General features: G+C 49.6%; 1 protein-coding gene and 1 long non-coding RNA gene across 6 annotated transcripts in view, besides 2 other annotated features; one reads left to right on the top strand and one right to left on the bottom strand.

Annotated features, from left to right (window-relative positions):
• The window catches only part of FSTL4 (follistatin like 4), a 645613-nt gene that overhangs the window by 565786 nt on the left and 56111 nt on the right, over positions 1-23716 (top strand). The window lies entirely within an intron of this gene.
• FSTL4-AS1 (FSTL4 antisense RNA 1) lies at positions 310-19837 on the bottom strand. 2 transcript variants are annotated; one of them, XR_007058939.1, is made up of 2 exons: positions 19764-19837; positions 310-541 (listed from the first exon to the last, which is right to left on the bottom strand). It is a non-coding gene; the product is annotated as an FSTL4 antisense RNA 1 (long non-coding RNA). The 2 variants fall into 2 exon arrangements; XR_007058940.1 differs by lacking the exon at positions 19764-19837 and adding an exon at positions 6108-6212.
• Positions 10573-10652: an enhancer, noted in NCBI's record as "active region_23103". NCBI's record gives its function as "activates an Ori minimal core promoter by ATAC-STARR-seq in GM12878 lymphoblastoid cells {active_cell/tissue: GM12878}" and the evidence as "EXISTENCE:reporter gene assay evidence [ECO:0000049][PMID:35858748]".
• Positions 13316-13817: an enhancer, noted in NCBI's record as "H3K4me1 hESC enhancer chr5:132598157-132598658 (GRCh37/hg19 assembly coordinates)". NCBI's record gives its function as "activates a minimal SCP1, AML or CMV promoter by ChIP-STARR-seq in naive H9 embryonic stem cells {active_cell/tissue: H9 hESC(naive)}" and the evidence as "EXISTENCE:reporter gene assay evidence [ECO:0000049][PMID:30033119]".

The following is a 23716-nucleotide window of genomic DNA, read 5'->3' as shown; positions in this document are numbered from 1 at the left end:
ACAGGCCCCAAGCAAGCCAGGACAGCCCTGCTGGCAGCCAGCTGAAGACAGGGTTGTGAGCACCCTCTATGGCTTCCACCCTGGGGGACAAGAGATGTATTTCCCTCCTTAAGGAAGGTGCAGACCCCACTTAGAGGGGAAACATTGTGATTGCTCTCTGTTGACTTGAGTTATATTTAGTATAATGTTACTTAAATATGTACAAACATAAAACCAGGTACACGTTCCTTATGCAGGGAGCTCTCTCACAGCCATAAAGCTAAAACAAATTTATAAATGAAATAAAAGCAAACTGCAAAACCAATAAACTTCAAATTAACAACATTAATTTAATGGGACAAAGTGTTATTGTTTTCCTGAAACTAAATCAGCGCTCACGGCTGACTCTGGGGCAGGCTGCTGTTGTTCTCCAGGGTTTTCTGCTACCTTGCCGTGTGCTGCATGATGACTCAGCTCTCCCACCGCTTCTTTCTCCATTCAGACCACTTCGAAACCTTCATTCCCACAGTCTCCTTAGCTCTTTAAGCCTTGCTTTGCTCATCTGTAAAATGGAGAGGGTATTCGTATGTATTTTGTTACGAGAATTAAACCAGTTGATGCAATGCAGCCTTCTGGCTTGAGACATGTGTAGTCACACAGGGGTCCACACTCAGAAGGGGCCCATGCTTGCTTTAATGCTCTGCTGTCGACATCTTGAAATTCCTTTTTTTTTTGTTTTTTTAAGACAGAGTTTTTCTCTTGTTGCCCAGGCTAGAGTGCAGTGGCACGATCTCGGCACCCTGGAACCACCGCCTTCCGGGTTCAAGCGATTCTTCTGCCTCAGCCTCCCAAGTAGCTGGGACTACAGGCACCCGCCACCACGCCTGGCTAATTTCTGTATTTTTAATACAGACAGGGTTTCACCATGTTAGTCAGGCTGGTCTCGAACTCCTGACCTCAGATGATCTGCCTGTCTCGGCCTCCCAAAGTGCTGGGATTATAGGCATGAGCCACTGTGCCTGGCCACATTTTGAACTTCATAACAGAGTTTCCCTCCGTCACCGAGGCTGGAGTACAGTGGTGCAATCTCAGCTCATTGCAACCTCCACTTCATGGGTTCAAGTGATTCTCCTGCCTCAGCCTCCCGAATAGCTGTGATTACAAGCGTGCACCACCAAGCCCAGCTAACTTTTTTGTATTTTTAGTAGAGACAGGGTTTCACCATGTTGGCCAGGCTGGTCTCAAACTCCTAACCTCAAGTGATCCACCCGCCTCGGCCTCCCAAAGTGCTGGGATTACAGACATGAGCCACTGTGCCCAGCCTAAATTCTTATAATTTTTTAAACAAAGGGAACTGCATTTTTATATTACACAAGGCCCTGTAAATTATGTAGCAGGTCCTATGCATAGGACAAAGTCAGGTATACAGTTGGCACCCAATAACTGTTAGCAGCTATTACTGGTACCTTGTCCTGGTTACTAAGTACAGATTCTTTGTGATGTTTTCCTCTGATGACAGTTTTATCTTCCCATTATTTAATAGGGGTGGAGAGGCCACCTCATGTGTGTAATTGTATTTGACTAATTCTTGGAGTTGAGTGTGTGCTTTGGAGCGAGGACTGCTGTGTTGACGGAAGGATTAGCTTTCTGGGTCACGTGGGCGGTCTGAGCACACCACCCCACCAAAGCCCTCTCACTCGGGACCAGCCCCTAGGCTTCAGACCTGTGTCTCTTAGGCTGACATTCCAATGGGGTCAGGCAGAATACTGCTGTCTTCTTGAAACCTCTTAAATAGGTGGCCAGAGTTTAAGTAAGTTAACAGGTTATGAAGTTGAAGACACTTGAATGGATGAGAAGCTCAGACAGAGTTGCTAATTTAATTTTCCTTTTTTATTGCTGTTCTCCTAAAAAAAAAAAAAAAAGCACAGATTGCCCTTTTTCTGAGAATGAGATATTAATAAGCACAGCATTTTGCAAAAGTAGAGAAGGGCATTAAGATTTTGCAAGGTCTCTCTATTTGTCCCTCACTTCTCAAGGCTCTTCTGCTGGCCCAAATAGGACACAGGCTGAGGGGATTAACTGCTTAAAGTTCAGGAAATGGGAACCACCTTTGGCTGCTGTCACCAGACTCAAGTATTAAATAACATCCCTGCCTGCCCAGAGGACATCTCTGCAAGCAACTCCATCAGCCCCAGCCACCGCCCTGGCCATGTTGAGAGTTTGCCAAAGAAAAATGAACACTTGGGCCTCAAAGTGCAGGCATTAATATCCTAAGTGTCTCATCATGGAAGACTTTGTTCCCCAAGGAGAGTAAATCTTTCCTTGTGGGATGCAGCAGGCTAAGGACCAAGCTGACTCTCTGAGCTCAGTAATCAGGCTAGTCTCCTGCTGGAGGCACAGAAGGGAACTCCGCTGTGTGTCAGCACCTCCTGCATGCCCTGACTCATGCTTGGGGGAAGGACGGTGGAGTGAGAGGCGGATATGGACCCTCCCTGGGCAGAGCTCCCTGTTATCCCTGGAGTGGGTTACTCCTTCCGCTGCCTGCAAACGTAGGTTTCCCTTCAGCTACGCAAAGGCCTGTGAACACAGATACGTGGTCACAAGCATCTTTGCAGCTGTTTCTTTCCACCAGCCTGGGGCCTGCTGGGTTCCTGAAACCTCAGGGTAAGTCAAGCCTCAGAGGTCATCAGTAGCCAGTATCCACTGTTCTGCACCCCTTGGGAGAAGCTCGAAGAACAGGGCTGCCAACTTCTTCAGTAAGATCCCCCAGGTAACCCTGACCCCAAGTAGCTCCCTCCTCCATTAAGAGGAGCCACAGGCCCAGGTAAGCCACAGCCACAGGCCACACAGGGCCCCAGGCTGGAGGACTCTAGAGCTAAGTCTCCAACATGGCTATGTTACAAGTCCTAGGTATGTGTGGCTGCTGAGCACCTGAAATTAGGCTAGTCCAAATTGAGATGTAAGTATAAAATACACATTAGATTTTAAAGCCTTCTGTGGAAAAAGAAGGTAAATATCTCATTAACTAATTTTTACATTGATTTTATGTTAAAAGAGTAGTTTAGATATTATTAAATTACTATCAGCTGTTTCTTCTTTTTACTTGGCTACAAGAAATGTAAATCAGATATGTGGCTTGCATTGCCATACCATTGGACAGCACTTCCCTGGAGAGAACAGAGGAAATATCACAAGAGTCAACCAGGAAGGTCAGAACTGTGACAAGGGACTAACCTCTCCCTATGCCCAGCGCTGGCCCCCAGCACATGCAACTCTGGCCCTTGATGGCCCAATCCGTCCTGCTCCTGCAGGGGATGGCAAACCCTGGCAAGAAGCTCCCAGAAGGGGAACTGAAGGGCTGTTCTATGACAAATATTATCAGCATCAGAAAGTCAAACTGGGTTTCAGGGGCCACCTGAGAATTACAAGTCCTAACAGATGGCCCAAGTTTTCATCTTCTCTTCTGAGTTTTAGTACAAAATCCAGAGAAACAGTTATAGATCTGTTGCCACATCAATGCCTACAAACATTCACCACTCGCGATGCTGCCTTTAGTGCTAATGCAGCGCACTCATTTACAGACTAATAAAATCGGAAGAGTTATTATTCCTTTAAAATGCAGACATATCTGGGGTATCCACTTAATGACGCATATGGAATAAATTACTTTTGGATGACACTTTTTAATTGAACTGAACTAACAGCTTAGTAATATGTTGCAATAAGAAGAATATTAGGATGATTAAAAGATCTAAAAACTCTTGCGAAATTAAATGATTAAACATAATGCTGAGTAAATGAACAAGCCCGTGTATATTAATCAGTTGTGGGCCTCCAGAAGCCGTCGTGTAACTAAATGCACGTCACGGCGCTGCACGCGCGTGCCTCCTCTCTCCCTCCACGCCGGCTTTCCATCATGCCCTCCTTACCACCACGCTGGGCAAACTGCTTTTTCCACAGACAAACAATGCGTTAAGAATGCAGTGAGTGTAAGTGTTACAAGAGCTATTGCTTCTTGGCAAACACTCATTCCTTTGGTTGTTGGCTTCAAGAAATGGCCGTGTCATTAATTTTCAGTCCCTGTTTTTAACTGAAATGAAACTTTAAGGTGCAAAAATTAATAGAATTCTGGCTTCCTTTCTGATTGTAGGAATTGACATTCCTGGTACATTCCCCTTGTTGGGATGTCTCCTGTTTCCCATTAAGCCACTCACCTCACTGTGTTTTAATTTCCCTGGAACTGTTGCGTACCATGAGTCGCTCTTAGGAAGCTGGGGGTGAGAAAGTCATGTTGGGAGAAAGTGTCGATTCCAAAGCCCCCCGGTCAAAGCTGGCTGCTCTTCAGGGTGGAGGAGGAAAAGCAGCTCTGTTGAGGTCCCAGGAGGGCATCCCCTGCATCCCTCCCTCCCTCTGCCACTGGCCATGCCACCCAGCACCGTGCAGGTGCCTTTTGTATGACCTAGAAAACTGATTAACTTCCTTATGCAGTTCATCCCCCGCCTGCTCAGAGATAACCCAGGTAATTTCTTTTCTGATTGTATAAATCTTTCATACCCAAGTCACAGTCATAATTAGTTACATAAAAATTCAGGTTACGACTTAGGCTGTTATTAGGAACATGAAAAACAGTGAAAAGTTTTGTCTCACTCACTCTCTAATAAAAACTCTCAAGGTCTCTGTTACTGAGAACAGAAGGGACTTGGTATCTCATTAAGGCTAAAATTCAATTCAGAACAGAATCTCACTAGCTGGGCTTGATGCTGGGGCGGTGGGGGGCAGGAAAGGCTAGCCACTCCTGGCAAGAAGTTTAAAGCAGGTCTGTGCTCTCCACACCCTGTATGTGTCGTGGCCTTCCCTCGGCTGGGCTGAGAATCTGTGCTTCCAAAACCAATGCCACAAGAAGCCCAGCAGAGGCATCTTCTCAAATGAAAATATATTCCCCAAACCAAAGTGCTGATCAAACCCATCTTGCAGCACATCACACTGGAAAATAACACAGTGGAATTCCATTAAGCCGATGGCTCCTAAAGAACAAGTCAGCTTTCTGAAAAGTCCCAGATAAAGCACTACAATTGTCTCAATGGCTTAATGTAATCACCTACCAGGGGCACTAGATTCATCTTCCCCAATTGGGCAAATTAAGAGCCATCGAAAGGAATCACATTCCCACAGTTACCCAGGAGACTGAGAGGGCCCTTCAAGACGGGCAAGCAGAGCCTCTTCCTGCTGCAGCCACTTCCCTCCATCTGGCCCAACTCAGGCCTGGAAGCAGAGCTCAGGAAGTAGCTCTAACTGAACTCCAACTTACAATGGAACCTCAGAGAGCCAAGTGTTTGAGTTCCAAGGATGGAGGTAAAGTTTTTCAAAGGCTTCCAGTCCTGAAGACTGAGGCCCATTGTGAGTTATTAAACTCGTCCTTTCCAGATGGCACAGCGGATTATGACTATGCAACCCTAGACCCAGCAATTGGAGTAGTTCTGGGCTTTGGATAATGTGGGGGTTATCATACAAGCTATGGGGCAGGAGAGCATAGAGTAGGGGTGACCTGCCCTTTACAAAATCCCAGTCCCCGCATTGTCATCTGAAATGCAAGAGTCAGACCCTCACCTCAGCAGATCTCATTCCTCACTTTCTTGCAGGGCAGAAATGCTGAAAACATTCATTTGTCAAAACTTTGAAAGCCACAGGACTGAGCCAACAAGGAGAGAAGCAATCAGGACTTTGTCATCAGAGGAGGCGGACTGCCCCCACGTCCTATCAAATTTAGTCCGGAATGTATTTTGCCATTATTGTAACTATGCCCTTCAGCTGCCACGCCGTTTCAGGAACGGAGCGCTAATACATTCTGTGGCACAGTCTCTTTATGGGGAGGAAAGGATCCCAGTGCCCCTTGACAGAGAGAGAATAATAGCATAATGCAACAGAACATTTTTGAAATGCTAATACACGCTCTCCGCAACTTAATTTTATTTTTTTCTTATTGGCTTTTTTATATGACATTTCACAGTCCTGTAGCCTCAATAGCTAGATCTGCATCGTAAAAATGACAACACGGTGATTTAAGGAGGAGAGTCCATCAGAGCGAAATGGGTGGTGTGCTTTTAAAGTATCAGTTTAGCACCTCTTACCTGGGATCAATGTTCATTCTCAATACATCATTAAAGCATCCTGTTAAATCACTTGGAGAGTGGTTGTGCTCTTCTTATGCAGCCCCAGGTTTGATTATGGAGATAATGAAGTGGAACCCTGCAGGAAGGGCCATGTTAGGCACACGTACTTTATTGAGTTAGGGGCTACCAGGGAAGGTTGATCTGAATTAAAGAAACTTGAGAGGAAAGGAGAGAGAGAGAAGCAGAGCAGGTGCGTGGGCATGGAGGCTTCCATCGGAACTGGATAGGCAGCAACAGATGCCGTCAAATTTGAGACCTCCTCTCTAAGCTTTACAAGCACAGTGTTCACCAAACCCATATTCATAAGGGTCCGAGCTGCAGTGAAGTCTGCAGTCAGCATGTAAGATGAGAGAGACACACTGATGGGACTGGTAGAACTTTCCAGACCCCAACCAAAGTGAGCTCAAAGGCAAACAGGATTAACAGGTCCAGCACCCCTTACATGGAGCAGACAAAGGACCAGACAAAGGACCATCTCTAGTGAGGGCTTGGGCCAGAGCATTGGGCTGATTGAAAAACTCCAGAACCCAAGTGAGCATGAGTTCCTAAGAACATATCCTTCAAGTCCAGCTGCCTGTATGTGGCCATCGTTAGACCCTGAGACACGGATGTTCCTCGGTTTTCTTTCCTTTCTTCTGGAATATATTTTGTTCAAAGTAATACATGCTAATTGTACACTACTGCACATAAGAAGTTGAAAGATAACCCCTCCCAAATCCCACTGCTCTCTTATCCCCCGTCTCACGCCTCATGGATAAATTCCACTGGCAATTTGCTTGGACCCACACAGGCTTTCTCTCCTGCATGTACAAACACCACACAGGTATTTTTGTGACCTGGGATCAGACTCCACACATTGTTTTGCAACTTGCTTTTCTCATTTAAAACCATTTCAGGTCAGTACAAATAGATTTGCCTGGCTCTTTCTTTTTTTTTTTTTTTTTTTTTGAGATGGAGTCTCGCTCCATCGCCCAGGCTGGAGTGGTGCAGTGGCACGATCTCAGCTCACTGCAAGCTCCGCCTCCCGGGTTCACGCCATTCTCCTACCTCAGCCTCCCGAGTAGCTGGGACTACAGGCGCCCGCCACCATGCCCGGCTAATTTTTTTGTATTTTTAGTAGAGATGGGGTTTCACCGTGTTAGCCAGGATGGTCTCGATCTCCTGACCTGGTGATCTACCCACCTCGGCCTCCCAAAATACTGGGATTACAGGCACGAGCCACCGCGCCCAGCCTGCCTGGCTCTTTCAAATTCTATTTGAAACCAAAACATAATAACCAATCCCCTGATGATGGATATTCAGGTTGTTCTTAGTTTTTCACTAGATAATACTGCAATTGGCGTCGTTGGTCACAGATATCTTTGCACATCTGTGCAAGTATACCATCGGATACCTTCACTAGAGGCTTCCTGACAACTCTTCCAAAAGTGACTGGCTCTTGTCTCCATGTTTTATGGTTTCCAAAGTTAGGAAAAAAAATGAAACAGCTCACTCCCTCCTCCCTGTCTCAGGATGAGCAGGAAGGCAGGTGAGGTTTGCACTTGGACCATGCTCCTGCAGAAGCCGGGCTACCAAGACAAATGAGCCGGGCCTCCACCACCTCCCATTTGACCTGCAAAGTCCTCAGAACTCCCCAGGACTCCTCAGTCACCCAGGAACTCAAATGTGCATTAGCCCAGCCTTTCAAACAACACCCATGTAGGGGGGTAGTGACTTGTCTCACTCAAAGTAGGGGACAGCACACAGGCCAGGGAGGAATTGGAGCCCTGGGAGTCAGCATAGAATTCTCCATCATGTGGTGTGGGAAGGCACAGACCAAAGTTGACCGGACCCAAAGTGTTCTGTGCTGTAAACTGATGACCTGGGAGCTTGGGCGACAATAGATGAAGCTCCCAGGAAGGGGAATCTAGCCTCCGCTCTTGGTGAAGACAGTGCTCATGCTAAAGCCTGTTGAGTGGGTTTATCAGTTCTGTTCTGATTACCTGATGTCTCTGGCTCCTTGATTTTCCAAGTGAACTCCCTTTAAAGCTTGAGTTGTGACCAGCTGGATTTTTCAGAAACTACTACATAATAGCTAACATTTTATTTGAGCCCATTAGTTTTGGCATTTTTTTAAGGTAAAATTTCAGTTAAATGGCTAATGCTATTGAAAGCAAATTCCTCCAGAGTCAGTGGCAGACACAGCTCCTCAATGATACTGTTCATTTCTGCTGAGCCTGAATGTGTAGCTCACGTGCCTTCTAAATGCAGCCCTTCTTGCCCCAGCCAAGCCAGTGAAATGTGGAGGTCAGGAGGGTTTGCCTCCTATGTCTCATGACCTTCTTCCTGTTCTCTGGACCCTGACCTCTGCCCCAAGCAAATCACACCTCCCCCACTTGGAACCTATCTAGCAGTCTCTTCTGCCTGTGTGTTAATGACTGACAGCATGGCAGGCAGTTCCTTCCCAGGTGTGTCTCAGTTTCTGAAACACATCTTCAGTGATGGACTCAGGTATCCACTGGCAGGAGAGCAACACCAAGTCCCCCCTTTAGCAAGGGCACCCCAGGAGCACTATGGCCATGGTGCTTCCCTTGCTCTGACCAGCCTGGGCATCAGGGGAGAGGATCCACTTGAGACCTGGGGCAAATTGCTTCACCTCATTCAGCCTCAGCCTCTTCATCTGTGTGATGGGCAGATGTTCCTCACCCGGCCTCCCTGTGGGGCTTATGCGGCTGTGGATATGAGCGTGCTTTGTGAAGAACAGGTTGTCATTACTGCCCCTGCCTGTTTAACCCCAGCCCCAGGCCCTCTCATGGGTCCTGGGGCCCTCCTAAGCCAGGGCTCAGGGACAGGCCCTCACAGCCCCATGCAAACACAGTCTGCAGCTTTCAGATGGCAGGTGTTGGGCCTGTCCTGTGCCCGCCTCCTCACCACCCCCTACCAGAATCCTGCACCTCCTCCTCCCAGACCCCATCTCCTCCCTTTTCTTCCCCTATCCCCAGAACCTGTTGAATCATCACCCAGTTTTTCCTACTACCGTTCCTCCTCCCGGGAAAAGTGGTCCTGAGACATGGGATTGGGAAGACTCCACGTGTGGAGACACAGCACAGGAGCCCACCCTGCCCAACTGGCAGGCCAGACCCTCCACCTGTGTGACTTGTGGGGACCTTTGTGCTCTTAGAAGGCACTGGGGGCAGCGACGTGCACATCCTTTTCTGGTTCCCATGGGGGAGATCCAGAAACGTCAGGACCCTCCCAAAGCTGAGGACACTGAGTGAGGAGCCCACAAGGGGGAAGCTGTGGTCACTGCTCCGGACCTCCACTGCCCAGGCTTCTCTCTGAGCAGGGCAGCAGAGGCTGCTTTGTCTGCTGCAGGCTGACCAAGAGGGAGTCCTAGGCCTGATCCAGCTTTCCTGGCTCCCAGGACACCAGGCAAGCAGAGGACAGGAGTGGACAGTGTCCTTTACCATCTGCTGCCACAGACTCCCCCACTCCTTAATCAGTGAGAGACTGCAGAGCTAGGCAGCTGCCTCACCTGCTTCTCACAGAGGGACAGAGGCATCCTGAAGCCCAGGTTCTGCTGATATGCAGCGATTTGCTCCACAGCATTCCTGGCTCACCACCTTCTTTCCGAGCCCATGTGGACGGCAGCCCTGGGGAAGGGTGGAGAGGCAGGAGCCGGGCAGGGCCTCGGCCTCAGCCGGGAGAGGGCCAAGCCTCCTTCCAAACCACATGCATTTTAATGGGCAGATTTCACTGACAATTGCCCTGCGTGTACAAGGAGCTCATTAAACCAGAGTGTTGTTTCAGGACAGCACAAAGCCGTTCTGCCCACAACTTCCTAATCCGTCTGTAGAAGCTGCCAAGGTCAGGACCTTGAAAATAGTCAGCAGCCATGTTGGGTGTGCGTGCTGTGGTCTGTGTACCCTGGGTTTGCCCACAGGGGCCCCCACGCCTGGGCTCTGTGCTCTGCATGCTCAGAACTGTCTGGCCAGCGCTGGCTGGGCTCACGATGTCCAGTGAGGGCCTCCTGGGAGTGCTCAGGCTCAGGCAGTGGGATTCGGGGCTGCCAGCTGTGTAGTCATGGTGTGCTCACCCTTAGCGAGGGCTTAGCCACTCTATGTGGGCCTGGGTGCGGACAACATGACCAGGACTTGTAGGGCTGCCACCAGCCTCTAGGGAGAGTACCTTTTGGTTGGAGCCATTTGACAATCCCCCATCGTGTGGGTGGTAGGCTGTGAAGTCCCAACCACACTCAGCACAGCAAATGAGGCCCCTAGGAGAGGGCCCCCACCCTAGTGTCCACAGTACCACAGTACCTCTCTGGGTCTCCGCTTTCACATCCCCACATGGGACAGGCCTGTCAGTGGCATCAGGTCCAGCATGACCAGCCGTGCAGGGGTGCTGGGGGAGGGGCAGCCTGTGGAGCATCTCCTGCCAGCCTGTGGGTCCCTAGTGGGAGGGGGAGTGACTCCCCTGCGTTCAGACTACAGGCCAATTCTCCAAAACCCAACCCACCACATGGCAAATTTGTCAAAGGATACTTTTTCAAACGTTTAGTTTCACCCCTACCTTTGTGATCATTGAAATTTATTTTTGTGGGTTTGTGTCCTGCCCCACCCCTGCCCCAGAGGCCCCAGACAGGCATCCTTACTGGGTGCAGGGCAGTCACCACACCTGTGTCACCTCCAGAGGCAGGGTGGGGTAAGGGCAGGGCAGAGATGTCACTAAAGCCTGGAACTTTCACATTGACTTTCAGCTGCCAAGTTTGAGTTGAGATGATCTGGGCATATTTGCATAGTTTTGAGCTCCTCTGTGAGGTGGTGCCCTCCCTGGTGGCCAGCGACGGGGGAAGGCCCAGGACATTTGGAGAGTGGCCGGCAGTTCCGCTTGTGTCCAGCTCAGTGTGAGTTGTGGGAGATGAGGCTGGAAATCAGGTGCTGGCAGGCCTTCAGTGCCAGGCAGAGGAGCCCGCTCCCTCCGAGATGATGTGGGGGGACGGGGCCTAGGAGGTGGTGCTGCACAGACCCACCCTATGGCCAGCATTCCCAGGGAAGAGGCCACCTCCTGCCACCAAATGCTGCAGTCCCTACTGGAAGCAGCACAGAGGGGATGAAGAGAAAAGTGTGGCTTCAGAGGAGTGGGAGGGTGCCTGGCTGTAATTGTTAAGATGGGGAGAGTGGACGAGATTTTGGTTCATTCATCCCTAAAATGGACCATTCACTCAGCCAGCTGGCAGCCTCTGCCTGTGCCTCCTAAGGCAAGCCCCACATCAGTGCTGCTGAGAAGCAATTTGCCATGGGTCAAGATGTGGAGATTTCCAAACTGACAGATGGCAGAGGAGTCTTTGGAGAGGAAACGAGGCATTTTTCTTACCAAGACCTGTCCTTGGACAAAGCATACATGACATGATAGGGTTCTCACTGCAAGATAATTTAAAGAACCTACCCAAGACGAAGAGAGAGAGAAATGTCCCATATAAGGGAAAGAGATTTCTCGCATCCCAATACTTTAAAACTTTGCTGCCATGCGTCTGCCTAACACAGAAAAGGTTTTGGCAAAGGCAAATTGTGGTGACACCCACTCTTCTGAGTCTCCCTCCCAGTCAGCTGCCTGCACAGAGACCCTCCACCACCAGGAACGGCAGGTGAGCCCCCCAAGCCTGGTGTCTGCAGGAGAGTGTGATAGCCACACCCCCGGGCAAGGTTTGGGCTTGTCGAGCTCAGGATGAGGAATGACAGGGGGCCTCCCCAGAGTGTAACCACCAAGACACGGGTGAGTTAGGACAGGGATGTATCCACACAGGTGATCTCCCCTGCCTCGGGCAGGGCAGTGGGTGGGCAGCCACTCCCAACATACGAAAAATAAGTATTTATTTTAAGGGTGTGCAAGTCACATTTTTATTGCTAGCATTGTGGTTATTAATATATAGCACAGTTCTCAACAGCGCCACTATTGGTATTTGGAGCCATTTAATTCTTTGTCATGGAGACTGTTCTGTGTATTTTGAGCTGTTCCATGGCATCCTCAGGCTGCGTCCACCAGATGCCAGTAAGAAACCACCCCCTCCCCAAGTTGTGACAACCAAAAATACCTCCAGGCATTACCAAATGTCTCTTGAGAAAACTCACTTTGTTTGAGAGGCACTAATGTATACCAAATGGGTTTTACCCAATCTTTCCACCATTGGGTTCAGTTCCCCACATCCCCATTATACTCCAGGCTCTGCCCACCTTCTGTCACAATGCACAAGGTCTCTGCCCCATCAGAGGCTGGGCCCCCACTCAGGCTCCGTGCCCCTGCCTCACCCACTCAGAGACTTTTCTTCTGAAATTCTCCCTTCTCTCTCTTGTAGCATACAATTCTCCCTCTCTATCCAATCACTCCCATTAGCACACAAACACAACACCTTAAAAACATAACAAGCCAATATCCTTGACCTTCTGTCTACCATCCCATTTCTCTGCTCTCTATCATGACAAAACCCTTCTAAAGAATGCCTCTTCACCTTCTCACCTCCCGTTCTCTGTCCAACCCATTCCAAAGATGGCTTCATTCCCCAGTGCTCTAACGAAACATTAGAGGTCCCAAATGACCTCTGTGTTGCCAAGCCCACAGTCAAATCTCACTCCTTATCCACCTAGAGCTCTCGGCCACACTGGGCACAAGTGAGCCACACCCTCCTTGGCCCTTCTTCCTCAGCCCTACCCTCCTCACTGGCCCCTGCCCATCCTCTCGCCTTTAAACATTGGGGGTCCCAGAACTCCACCCTCAGATCTCTTTCCTCACTCCACACTCTCTCCCCAGGGATCTCATGTGATCCTGTGTTTCTAAGTATTACTTATGCATCAATAAATTTCAAGGTTGCACACCTAGCCTAGGCCACTCTCCTGAGCCCCAAACTCCCATATCCAACTGACCACCCCTCAGCCCACCTTCCATGGTTAAAGACAGAACTCTGCATCTCAGCTGAAATGTCTACCCTAACCCTCAGCCTCTCAGCAAATGGAACCAACACCCACACAGTTTTTCAGGCCAAAACCCCAGTATTCATCCTGGATTCCTCCCTTTCCCTCAATCTCCCCATCCAGTCAAGCCTGTTGGCCCCTCTTCCAGCAGGTGGCCCAATCAGTCTGCCCCCAGCACCTGCTCTCAGAGCCATGCTCGGTCCAGAGCGCCATGCCTGGGTGGCAGCCTCCTCTATCACCCACCCCCCGACACCCAAACCAACAGAGTGTTGTCCCAACACCCTCAGCCCCACCCTCCTTCCTGACAGAACCTGTTTGCCCACCTCCCCCCACACCACCTGATGCCAGTCAGGGTGGCTTTTCCACATTTGTTTAGGAGTGATGTGACACGGATCTGGCCAAAGAACCTGAGGGGAAGTCAGCTGGGGGCCTCTTGGAGAAGCTTCTTTGTTTTGTTAACTTAAAAAAAATCACATAAGTGTCAATTTAGAAAAGGAGACTTTCTTTCTTATAAAGGATTACAGCCTGCAAGGTTACCATCCCGCAGGCTGGGCAGTGCAGCCTGCAGCAAAGACCAGAGACAGGCGCTTGGAAGGAGAAGGGATTGTGGTCGGAGCTTTATGCTGAATGTGGTTGGCCAAGTAGACATATTCTACAGGTTACAGGAGGAGCTGTGGACATTTAGGAAGGTGGTCCTGGCGCATGGGTATTGAACAAGCATGCATGTAACATATGACCCATTTTCACTTTGGAGTGGAAAGTTAACATTTCACTCTATTACAATTAGGCCCTTTAGGTGAAAAGGTCTTTTCAGGATGCAAAGGCACTCAAGTGTGCAGCCTGTGTAAAGCAGACAGAATCAGTCCAGGGTCAGTGGTCCTCTTATCAGGAGAAAGTTACTGAAATCAGTCTCTCATCCAGTCGAAGCTGTAGTTGCGACCTGTAGAACAGGGGCTGGGGCAGTGAGTCGGCCTCCAGGGGAGCTGCAGTTGTTCCAGCATTGCTTATCTCAAGGCCAGTGCTTGTTTAGCTGCTGGAGGAAAGGAAAAGCCTAGTGGCAGGTAGAGCGCAGTTTATTCAAGCATAGGGGGTGCGAGACTTAACCTTTGCCTGACATGGCGTTAGGTCCCATTTATAATTGGGTATTTTATTACCACAAAGAGTCTATTCTGTCACTTTTTTTTTTTTTTTGAGACTAGGTCTCACTCTGCTGTTGCCCAGGTTGGAGTCCAGTGGCGCAATCTCAGCTCACGACAACCTCCGCCTCCTGGGCTCAAGCAATTCTCCCACCTCAGCCTCCTGAGTAGCTGGGACTACAGGCACACACCACCATGCCCGGCTAATTATTTGTATTTTTTGTAGAGATGGAGTTTCGCCATGTTGTCCAGGCAGGCCTTGAACTCCTGAGCTCAAGTGATCCGCCTGCCTCAGCCTCCCAAAGTGCTAGGATTACAGGTGTGTGCCACCACATCCAGCTAATTTTTGTATTTTTAGTAGAGACGGAGTTTCACCATGTTGGCCAGGCTGGTCTCAAACTCCTGACCTCAATGATCCACCCACCTCAGCCTCCCAAAGTGCTGGGATTCCAGGCGTGAGCACCGCGCCTGGCCTGTCACTCTCATGAGCTCTGTTTTAACATGAATGCTGGTCCATTGTTGTGTCTAAACTGCAAAACGGAGTGGATATAACAAGGCGTGTCCAACCTTTTATCCCATCATGGCTGGGAAGTCAGTTTTTAAGAGTTTTCTGGGGTCTTCTCGGCTAAGAGGGGGGTCCATCCATTTGGGGGATGTCTTAGGATTTTATTTTTAGTTTATAGTTCTTAAAACTCACATCCTTTCCACCGGATATGTACCTACGTGTGATGCCTCCACCTGTTTGTAGGCTTCCCAGTAACCCCGACGGGCATCAAGACAGCGTTCTGAGGACTGCAGAAAAGAGAGCTTGAGGCTTTGGTGACATTCGGGAACCATGGAATTAACCTGCCCAGGAAACATGCAGTGGGGCCTTCTCGTGATGGAGATAGAATTTCCGAATTAGCCAGCCCCATTTCCAGTCAGGATTTTCTGTTAATGCAGCTGAAGACCATCTCAACCAATACACAGATGGTCTTTAAAGGTGTAAATCAGACCATTTTAGTCTCCTGCCTAGAATCCTACAACAGCTTCTTAGAAAATCAAACATAGACTCCTTACCAGACCACAGGCCCCGCCAGCCCTCCTCCCAACATCTCCAGCCTCCTTTCTTACCACTGCCCCCAGAGGGCTTCCTTACTCCACGTTTCCACTTTCTGCTCGTGCCCACAGTGTCACCAGTTGGAGAGGGATGAGGCTCTTCCAAACCCCACTCCTGAACCCCTCTGCCAAAGTCCAAATCAGGCCATCAGGGGCCAGTGCCCCTGCCCTTCCAACAATTGGGCTCAGCTGAGCTCCCTGCCATGTTACTAAATATTCAGCAAACAAGCTGTAAGAGCTTCTCAGGTGAGCCCTGAAAACAGGATACCAGGAGTCTCTCATAGTGGGAAACAGAGTCTGATCATGGCTTCCCCTGGACCAGGAGGTGGAGGGCGGAGGTCCCTGGGAGCCGTGCTTAGAGAGGGGCCGGGAGGCTGTGAGCAATGTTTCCTCTACAAAAAGAAGGCAGCAGGAGCTCTGTGGTCCCTGGGAGCAGCAGAGCTGACGGCTGGCACAGGAACCCCTCATCAGGAGTTCATCAGCCACTGTGGCACGCTCAGGAAATTGGAATCAAAAACAAATACACTGATGTAAACCGTTCAAAATGGTCTGCAGATGCCTGTTTACAAAACACAGCCATGACAGAGCATTCTCAGGAGACTGGATAATTAAACAGAAAACAAGTTATATTTATTCATGTTCTTTCAGGACCCAGTGGCTTCTCCCCTCCCTGCATGTGAAGCACAGTCCCCCATTTGGAGAGGGCACAGCCTGTGCTGTGGGGTGGAAATGGTGAAGGGATGCAGTAGGGGAGGCTCTGTGTCTGCCTTCGGCTGCTCGAGCGGCCCGCCGGACACAGTCCAACCCCAGGAAACTTGGGACGACGGGGACCCAGATGATAAAGACTTGCATCTATTCTGCTTCCTTGGAGGAGGGTTTTTAGTAACAAGAATGCCACAGTTTAGAAATCATCTTCAAATCTCTTTCACTGGAGGAGGCCAAGAAAGTGATCCCAAATTACATTTCAAATCAAATGCCTTGGGAGGGTTAGGGGGTTATCATCAAGACAAAGATGGGACCTCAATGTTGTGTGGGGTCCCTGGACCTCCCCTCCCAGCCTGCTTCACCACAGGAAATCACACCGTATTATGCAAGAGGATCAAGTCAGGAACACGGGAGTCATTCCTGACACCTCTTTTATCCCCACCCCATCCAAACTATTTCCCAGCCCTGTCCCTTCCTCTTCATCTCCACAGTCACCACCTGTCTCTCTCCTGAACTACTGCCTTGGCCTCCTAAATGGTCCCCCTGCATTTTTTCCCTCTCTCCCACCAGTCCGTTATTTGCACAACAGCCGGAGTGACCCTTTAGCATGCAAATCATGTCACATCCCTGATTGACTTAAAATCCTTCTGATCATGAGCCAAGATCGTGCCGCGCACTCCAGCCTGGGTGACAGAGCGAGACTCCTCCTCAAAAAAAAAAAAAAAAAAGAAAAAAAAATCCTTCTGATCACTTTTCATCTCCTTAAATTACAGCCATCAGTCCTTACCTTGCTCTGCCTGCTCTAACTAGCTATTTCCTGCCTCTGACCGCATCTGTGCCACATGCCCTTGCCTTGTGCCATGTGCTTCAGCTGCACTGGTCTATTTCAGCTCCCAGAGCACTCCAAGCCCCCACCCTGCCTCAAGACCTTTGTATGGGCTGTTTTCTCTAACTAGAATGTCCTTGCTCCCATTCTTGGCCTGGCTGGCTTCTTCTCATTTTAAAGATCTTCACTTAAATATTCTCTACTCAAAGAGGCTTTCCGCCACACCAGCACCCACCCCCCACACACACACCTTAATAGCCCTCCCCTGCTACTCTCTTGGTATTCTCTCATCTTGTTCTTTCTATCCGTAATGCTTATTGTACTGTGTAATTTGTTTGCATGTTCTCTGCCAGCCTATTCTGAGACACCCCCCACCCCCAGCCCTTGCTCCCTCAGTCCAGCAGTTTGGACGCTGTAGCAACAGATACAGATGTGGAGTGAAGGAGTGAGCTCCCTGTACAGAAGGTATTCTGGGGATTGGAGCCAAAGTTGGACCTACTCTTGTTAGAACATTCTCAGAAGGTTCCTGACCTGGATGACTTGGCCTGTCAAAAGACTGTTTCCCATTTCCTTATGACTTCTTCAGTGGAAATACGTTAACTGGTATTTCTTTCCCTTCTGAGGGGGTGTGTTATGTAATTAACACCAGCTGCTATAGAAATCCCAAAATCTCAGTAGTGTAGTATAGTAAAGGCTGGTTTCCCATCCTCATCAAGTCCGATGGGGTCAGGCAGCTCTCCCTAAACAGTGACTAGACCATGTTCTTCACTCTCATCAAATGCATGACCTCCAAAGACGAGGAGAGGAGAGCATGGATGATGACTGTGTTATCCTCCAGAAAAATAAAACCAACAGAAGATGTATATGTCTTCTACGGAACCAATAAAACATTGGCTTCTGTTGAAGCCAGTGTTTCAGTTTCAGTCTGAAAGCAGGAAAAAGACCAATGTCACAGCTCAGCAGTGAGACAGGAGGGTTTCCCTCTTACCCAGGCTCATTTTTTCTATCTAGGTCTTCAACGAATTGGATGAGGCCTGCCCTCATTGGGGAGGGCAATCTTCTCTACTCAGTCTACTGATTCAAATGTCAATCTCATCCAGAAACACCCTCACAGACACACCCAGGATAATGCTCGAACAAATATCTGGGTGCCTTGTGGCCCAGTCAAGGTAACACATAAAACTAACCAAGACAATGACACAGAGGTTGTGTGGCCAGGCTTGGTCACCTCCTATCACCTACCATGTCAAACCCAATGACATGGCCCCATTCTGGCTCCAAGAGAGGCCACGAAATAGTCATAATGAGTGCACAGGAATTGGAAGATGAGCTGGCATTTGGAAACACACAGCATGGCCCCCTCTTGCTAGTTAGGTAAAAACTGTTTGCTCTTCTCCACTGACTTGCTCAGGAGATTCTGGATCCAACCTTAGAGATCTGTATGAATTTTTGTAAATTCTGAGTAGCTCTGTATAATTACATAAGGTAATACATTCTTTTCCCCCTTAAGACACCAAAGTAATAGGCAGTTAGGATACTCTCCTTTTGCAAATATCTTGAGCAGAGGTATGCCCATCATCTTTGGGTGTAGACTCAGTAGGGTGGGAGAGACCCATAGAGTGGCCAAGCTGACCAAGGCTACCCCACACACAGGAACCAGCGGAGGTGGAAGAGCTGGTATGCAGCACTGTGACAGCCATGCTCCTGCTGACCAGGAGGCCCTGTGCTCTCCACCTCAGCAAGGACCCTTTGCTCCTTCTGATGGATGCCTCTCCTGCCTGCCACACTGTGGCACCCCATGATACCCAGAATGGTGATCTCACAGCCCCTGGGCACTGAGTTCTGCTCTAACTTCCTGTTCGTCTGCACACAGCAGTCACATTGAGGTTTAGTTTTCTCAAAACTAAAAAGGTGTATTGGCCAGAGGAGGCTAAATGGAACCCCAGAGCCTAGAGGGATGCCCAGGTAACCCTGCCCCTGCACAGGCCGGCCCCTCCTGCAAACAAGGAGGATACTACATCAGACTAGGATGTCTCGATAGCAGGACACAGGTCTGCCAGGCACACAGGGAGGGCTCTACCAAGAAAGAGGGCAACCAGGCTTTACAGGAGTCACGGGCCCTTAACCTGGGGTCTGTAGACAGGTTCAGGCCTCTGCTCTCCCTCCCCACTTAACACTTGTCTTCTCTGCTAAGCCATGAGCTCCAGGTTAGCAAGCACTGGGCCTGTTTTTCTTGCCAGTATATTCCCACTGTATCCTGGCTCCTGGTACCAGCTCCATAAATAATTGTTGACTGAGCACTAGCCTAATAGTTCACTTGCTTAAAACTGCTTATTAAGTCCCTTCTGCGTGGTAGGCATTGTATTAGGTGCTGGGGATACAACATAAATAAAACAGATATAGTCTCTGCCTTTATGCAGCTTACAAAGGTGTTTGTTCACACCAGAGAGCAGAACTTGATAACTAAACTGTAATAAAAGTTGAAGCAACATCAAGCAACATAGGCCAGTTGAAAAAGTAAATTACCCACTGACCCGCAGGTAATTAACTAGTAATTTTATTGCCATCCCCAAAATGAAGCAAGCAAGAGGGAATGACAATGGCAGGAAGATTGAATCTGGTTACACGTAAGGAAACAGGAGATTTGGGACAGATGCAAGTGCTCTCTTGTGTGGCTTTGGAGCAAGTCTGGCTAATACAGAGCCACCTGTGCAGGCTGGATGCACCCTGGTGCTCTAAACAGGAATGTCAAGATGAAAGGCTTTAAGACATCCTGTCCCCAGCCTCCCATCCACAAACATTCAGCAGTTATTTGAAAGGATCCCAGAGTGACAATCTCTGGTAGACGGAACAGAGGAGACAAAAAGCACACCATCCCTCCCACCCGCCTTGCCCGGCTCACCAGGATACGCCAAAGCAGCTTCACTCTGTAAACACCAGCCAAAGTCACAAGGTCCGGGAGATGTTGCCCTGTTTGTTCAGGAGACACTGGGCATGCGCACTCCCCCTTGGCTCCTCCCCTACTCGCCAACTTCACAGTGTGACTCTGGTCACAGGGATGGGACCAGATCAATAGACTTTGTCACTCCAATGCCCCAGCTTCTTTGGTGGCACCTAGGTCACCTGAGGGGTTTGTTTCAGGAAAGCACATTAATTTAGAAGGAGAATAATGTGGGAAGAGGCCGCAGTTAGAGAGATGTGTCTAAGCGCCTGGCCTGTGCTCTCTCCAAATTGCCCTCATTCCCAAGCAGGCCCCTGAGCCTGAGTTTGCCCTCCGAGGCTCAGTCAAAAATATTGATGTGCAGGCAGGTTACTGAGCTTTTGACAGGGTTTTTTTCACCAATGGCATCATTTGAAAAATGGCAAATATCCAAGTAGGAATGTGTTCCATTAGTGTGTTTCTGACATAAGAAAACTAACACCAGCTTGACAAGAATTTGAGAAATTTAATTTCTATCACTACAAAGCACCAGAATCCTGTTTGAGAGGGTGCTGATGGGTTTATGAGTGTCTTATCGAGTTCAAGTCAGTGTGAGAAATAGCGCCTGAGATTAAGGGAAACCTGTAATAGGAACTAAAACCCAGTTCTCCAACAACTGAAATGTTATGGCCTCCTGCTTTCAGGAAGGGTGTTTGTTAGCCTGCTTATGGTAAGCCCATTAATTCCCTGTGACTGCCTCTTCTCTCCAAGCTCCAAGACTCAGGGAGAAAGGTGAGGACGGGTGTTTGTGGCATCTCATGTCTGGAAAACCAAGGGTATGCTACTGCACTGGTTTGAAGGGCCTAGAGAGATAGGTCATGGCCTTGAGCCCACCTACTGTGTGCCATGCCTTGTGCTAGGCACCAGAGTGCCAGACAGCCCTGCCCAGAATCCCACTGTGGGACACGCAGCCTAGCTAGTGGTCCAGGAAGCTCTGTCTTGTGCCAACCAACCCACACTGACTTGGGCCATCACTGCAGTGTGACCCATTTGTTTTCATCCCAGGGGGATATCATGGGAAGCCCTGAGCTTTGAGAACCCCCCAACTCCCTTGCCCTCCTCAGATTCCCTACTTGCAGAGCAGCTCTCCAATGTCAGTTCTCATAGCAGGGCGTCAGTCCCTCTGTGGGCACAGACTTCTGCCCAGTAGTGCCAGACAAGCTCCCTGATGGGCTGCTCTGACCCCCAACCCAGCCCTCTCTTTCCAAAGACACCAGCCTCAGTGTGTAGACACATTCTCACCCCAGACACAGCGTCTGGCTGAGCCCTCTCTCACTGACCCCTGATCACACTCTGAGTGCTGGGCATATCACGTTTGGTCGTCCAGGGACCTTGGAAACCTTCCCACATAGTGGCTAATGAGCCCACAGATGGTCAGTCAACACAGGGGCATTGGAGCCACAGCCAGGAGCCAGAAGGACCACTCGTTGCCCCCTAGAGGGCTGCATGTGGCATCTTCATCTTCCTCTCATGTGGCCTGGCTCCCCACCAGAGCAGAGACCAGGCCTGGGGCTTAACTGGTCCACAGCCCTGCAGATGTGGCCAGCGCAGGTGAGGTTCAGGAGATGTGTGATCACTGAACACAGAAGGCCATCTCCACAAATTCCAGACCCTCGCCATCAGGATGTGAGGCTCAACAGGATGATGGGGTTTGCTTAGTTGGGCCACATCTCCTCCCTGTGAAAGCTGCCCCCATCACTCTCCAGAGAAGGCGCAGGGTGGAGGCAAGACTGTAGTAGCCTAAATCAGGTTTCAGTTCTGACGATTCTTACCGTCTTCACTGTATGACTGCGGCTATCTGCCCTGATCACGCACGATGCCCAGGCTTCCCGATGCAGTTGTGATGCAGATAGGGGGAAGGGAGGGGGCCCTCTCTGCATCCCTATGATGGTCATAGGGTGTCAATCTGCCCAATATACCCTTTCCATTAGCCATTTTACCCCAGCCCAAACACCTAGTCCCTGCCCCTGGAGGTGGCCACACGGCCCAGGCCTGATGGGCCAATCAGTCCCACACCTGCACAATACTCAGTCCTCTTGCCCTCAGTGTTTGCTTCAGGGAAGAACACAGGAGCTGTATGTGGCCAATCAGAGCTCCCCCATGCTTTTTCCAGGGCTCTCAGGCAAGATTTGTTCCCTTCCTCTGGGATCCCACATACAGAAACAATGTGAGTGTGGGGCCACCAATGGACATCTTGCAACCAAGTAGAGAATGCCACTGTCGAAGGCCCTGGATGCCTGCAACCTCTTCCACCTCCCTTAGATTTCCCATTGTGGGAACTAAACCACCTTTTTCCCCCTAAGCTATTAATAGTTGAGCATTTCTGAGTGTTTCTGTTACTAAGCCTGAAAAAGTTCTGATAAATTCACCAGGACAGTCTCTTTCAATCTTCTTCACCTAATATCTGTCCAAGTGTTTCTTTACATTAAAACTTCAGGGTCCCAGAAACATCCCATGAGGTCATCTTGGAGGTAGGGGCCAATAGTGTGAGGAGCTCAGAATGGATGAGCAGCAGGTGCCAAGCAGGCCCACGCTGAGGTCTGAAGACACAAATGCCATGGGGAGCCAGCTGGCACAGTGGTAAATAATGTTGGAGACACAGCAGGGTCAAGACTGGGGACTCTTCTGGATTCTATGTGGTGATCTGTGGGTAATAGGGAGCCATTGACAGCTGTTGAGCAGGGCTGAGATGTACCTTGTTCTGCCAGTGGCAACAAGACAGTTGCAGGCAGCAGGGGCAAACTGGAGGGGTGACCATGAAGGAGGCTATAGGGGGCCTGGGATGGGGCAGGGGAGTCCTCAAAGGGTATCGGGAGGGAAGCCTTAGTGGGACTTGGCACCCATTGGTGCTGCCACTTGAGGCGTCACTTTTACCATCATGGGTAAGTGGGCAAAGAACAGGGGCAGATGACACTTAGGGGCAAGAAAAGATGCAGTGGGAGCACTTGCAAGACTCAGGGGGTCTCCAGGGGCATGAACATAGAATAATCGGCTCCGAGTCAAAAGCGAGGGGGGCCCAAGCCCTCATTGTATCCATGTCTAAACTGAGGCCCAGTGACAGGAAGGGAGCTGCCAAGGCCACTGAGCTTGTCAGCAGCAGAGCCAGGCCTGGGGGCCAGGTGGCCTGCCCTGCTCACTCGGGGCCTAGCACATGATGCTGTCTCATTTTTTACTCTCCCTGGAAGTCACCCTGGGAAGCCACTTAGTCCTACTCTTTCCATTTAGCAAGGAAGGAGGACCCGCCAGGGGGAGGCTTGTTGACCAGGAAATAACGGGGAGTGAGGGTGGAAGGAGAGGGCTCAGTAGCCATAAATCCCTTCAGAACTGTGAAAGGAGCTGGGGAATATTGACACAAATTAAATCCAATAAAACATTCATTTAATTAAATTTTAAGTGATCCAAATATTTGCTGTTTGGTTAATATTCATGTAGCTGACAGGAGCAGAACTACGATGGTTCTATCAGTATTCACACATTCTAATTTTGCACGAGTTTTTCCTGCGCAAAGTGCACATCTTCTACATGCAAATGGCTGGGAATAACTCAGGGAGGATGCAGCAGCCAGTTATCCCAGCCAGCAGAGGACCGGAGGGACACAGAAGACTTCCGTCTCCCACTTGGATTTTTGTTTCCTATTAGCCCCATGTTTGAGGCTCCTGCAGACCTTTCTCTAGAGCCGCTTGGAATATATGACTTTGGGGCCACATGGAGGAAGGGATCCTACCTTTCACATCAGTCCTATGTTCCAAATGAGGGGCCATGCTCCTAGCCTTGTATCTAGAGCCCCAGGAAACCCCAGCCTACCAGACCTGCCTCGTCTCCCTGTCTCCCACCTGCATTCCCCCTCTCTATGTACCCAGAGCCCTTCTCATCTT

The sequence above is a fragment of the Homo sapiens genome, chromosome 5, assembly GCF_000001405.40.
Source record: "Homo sapiens chromosome 5, GRCh38.p14 Primary Assembly".
NCBI lineage: Eukaryota > Metazoa > Chordata > Mammalia > Primates > Hominidae > Homo > Homo sapiens.
Note: the sequence above shows the minus strand (reverse complement) of the source record. Positions and strands in the feature narration are given on the sequence as shown.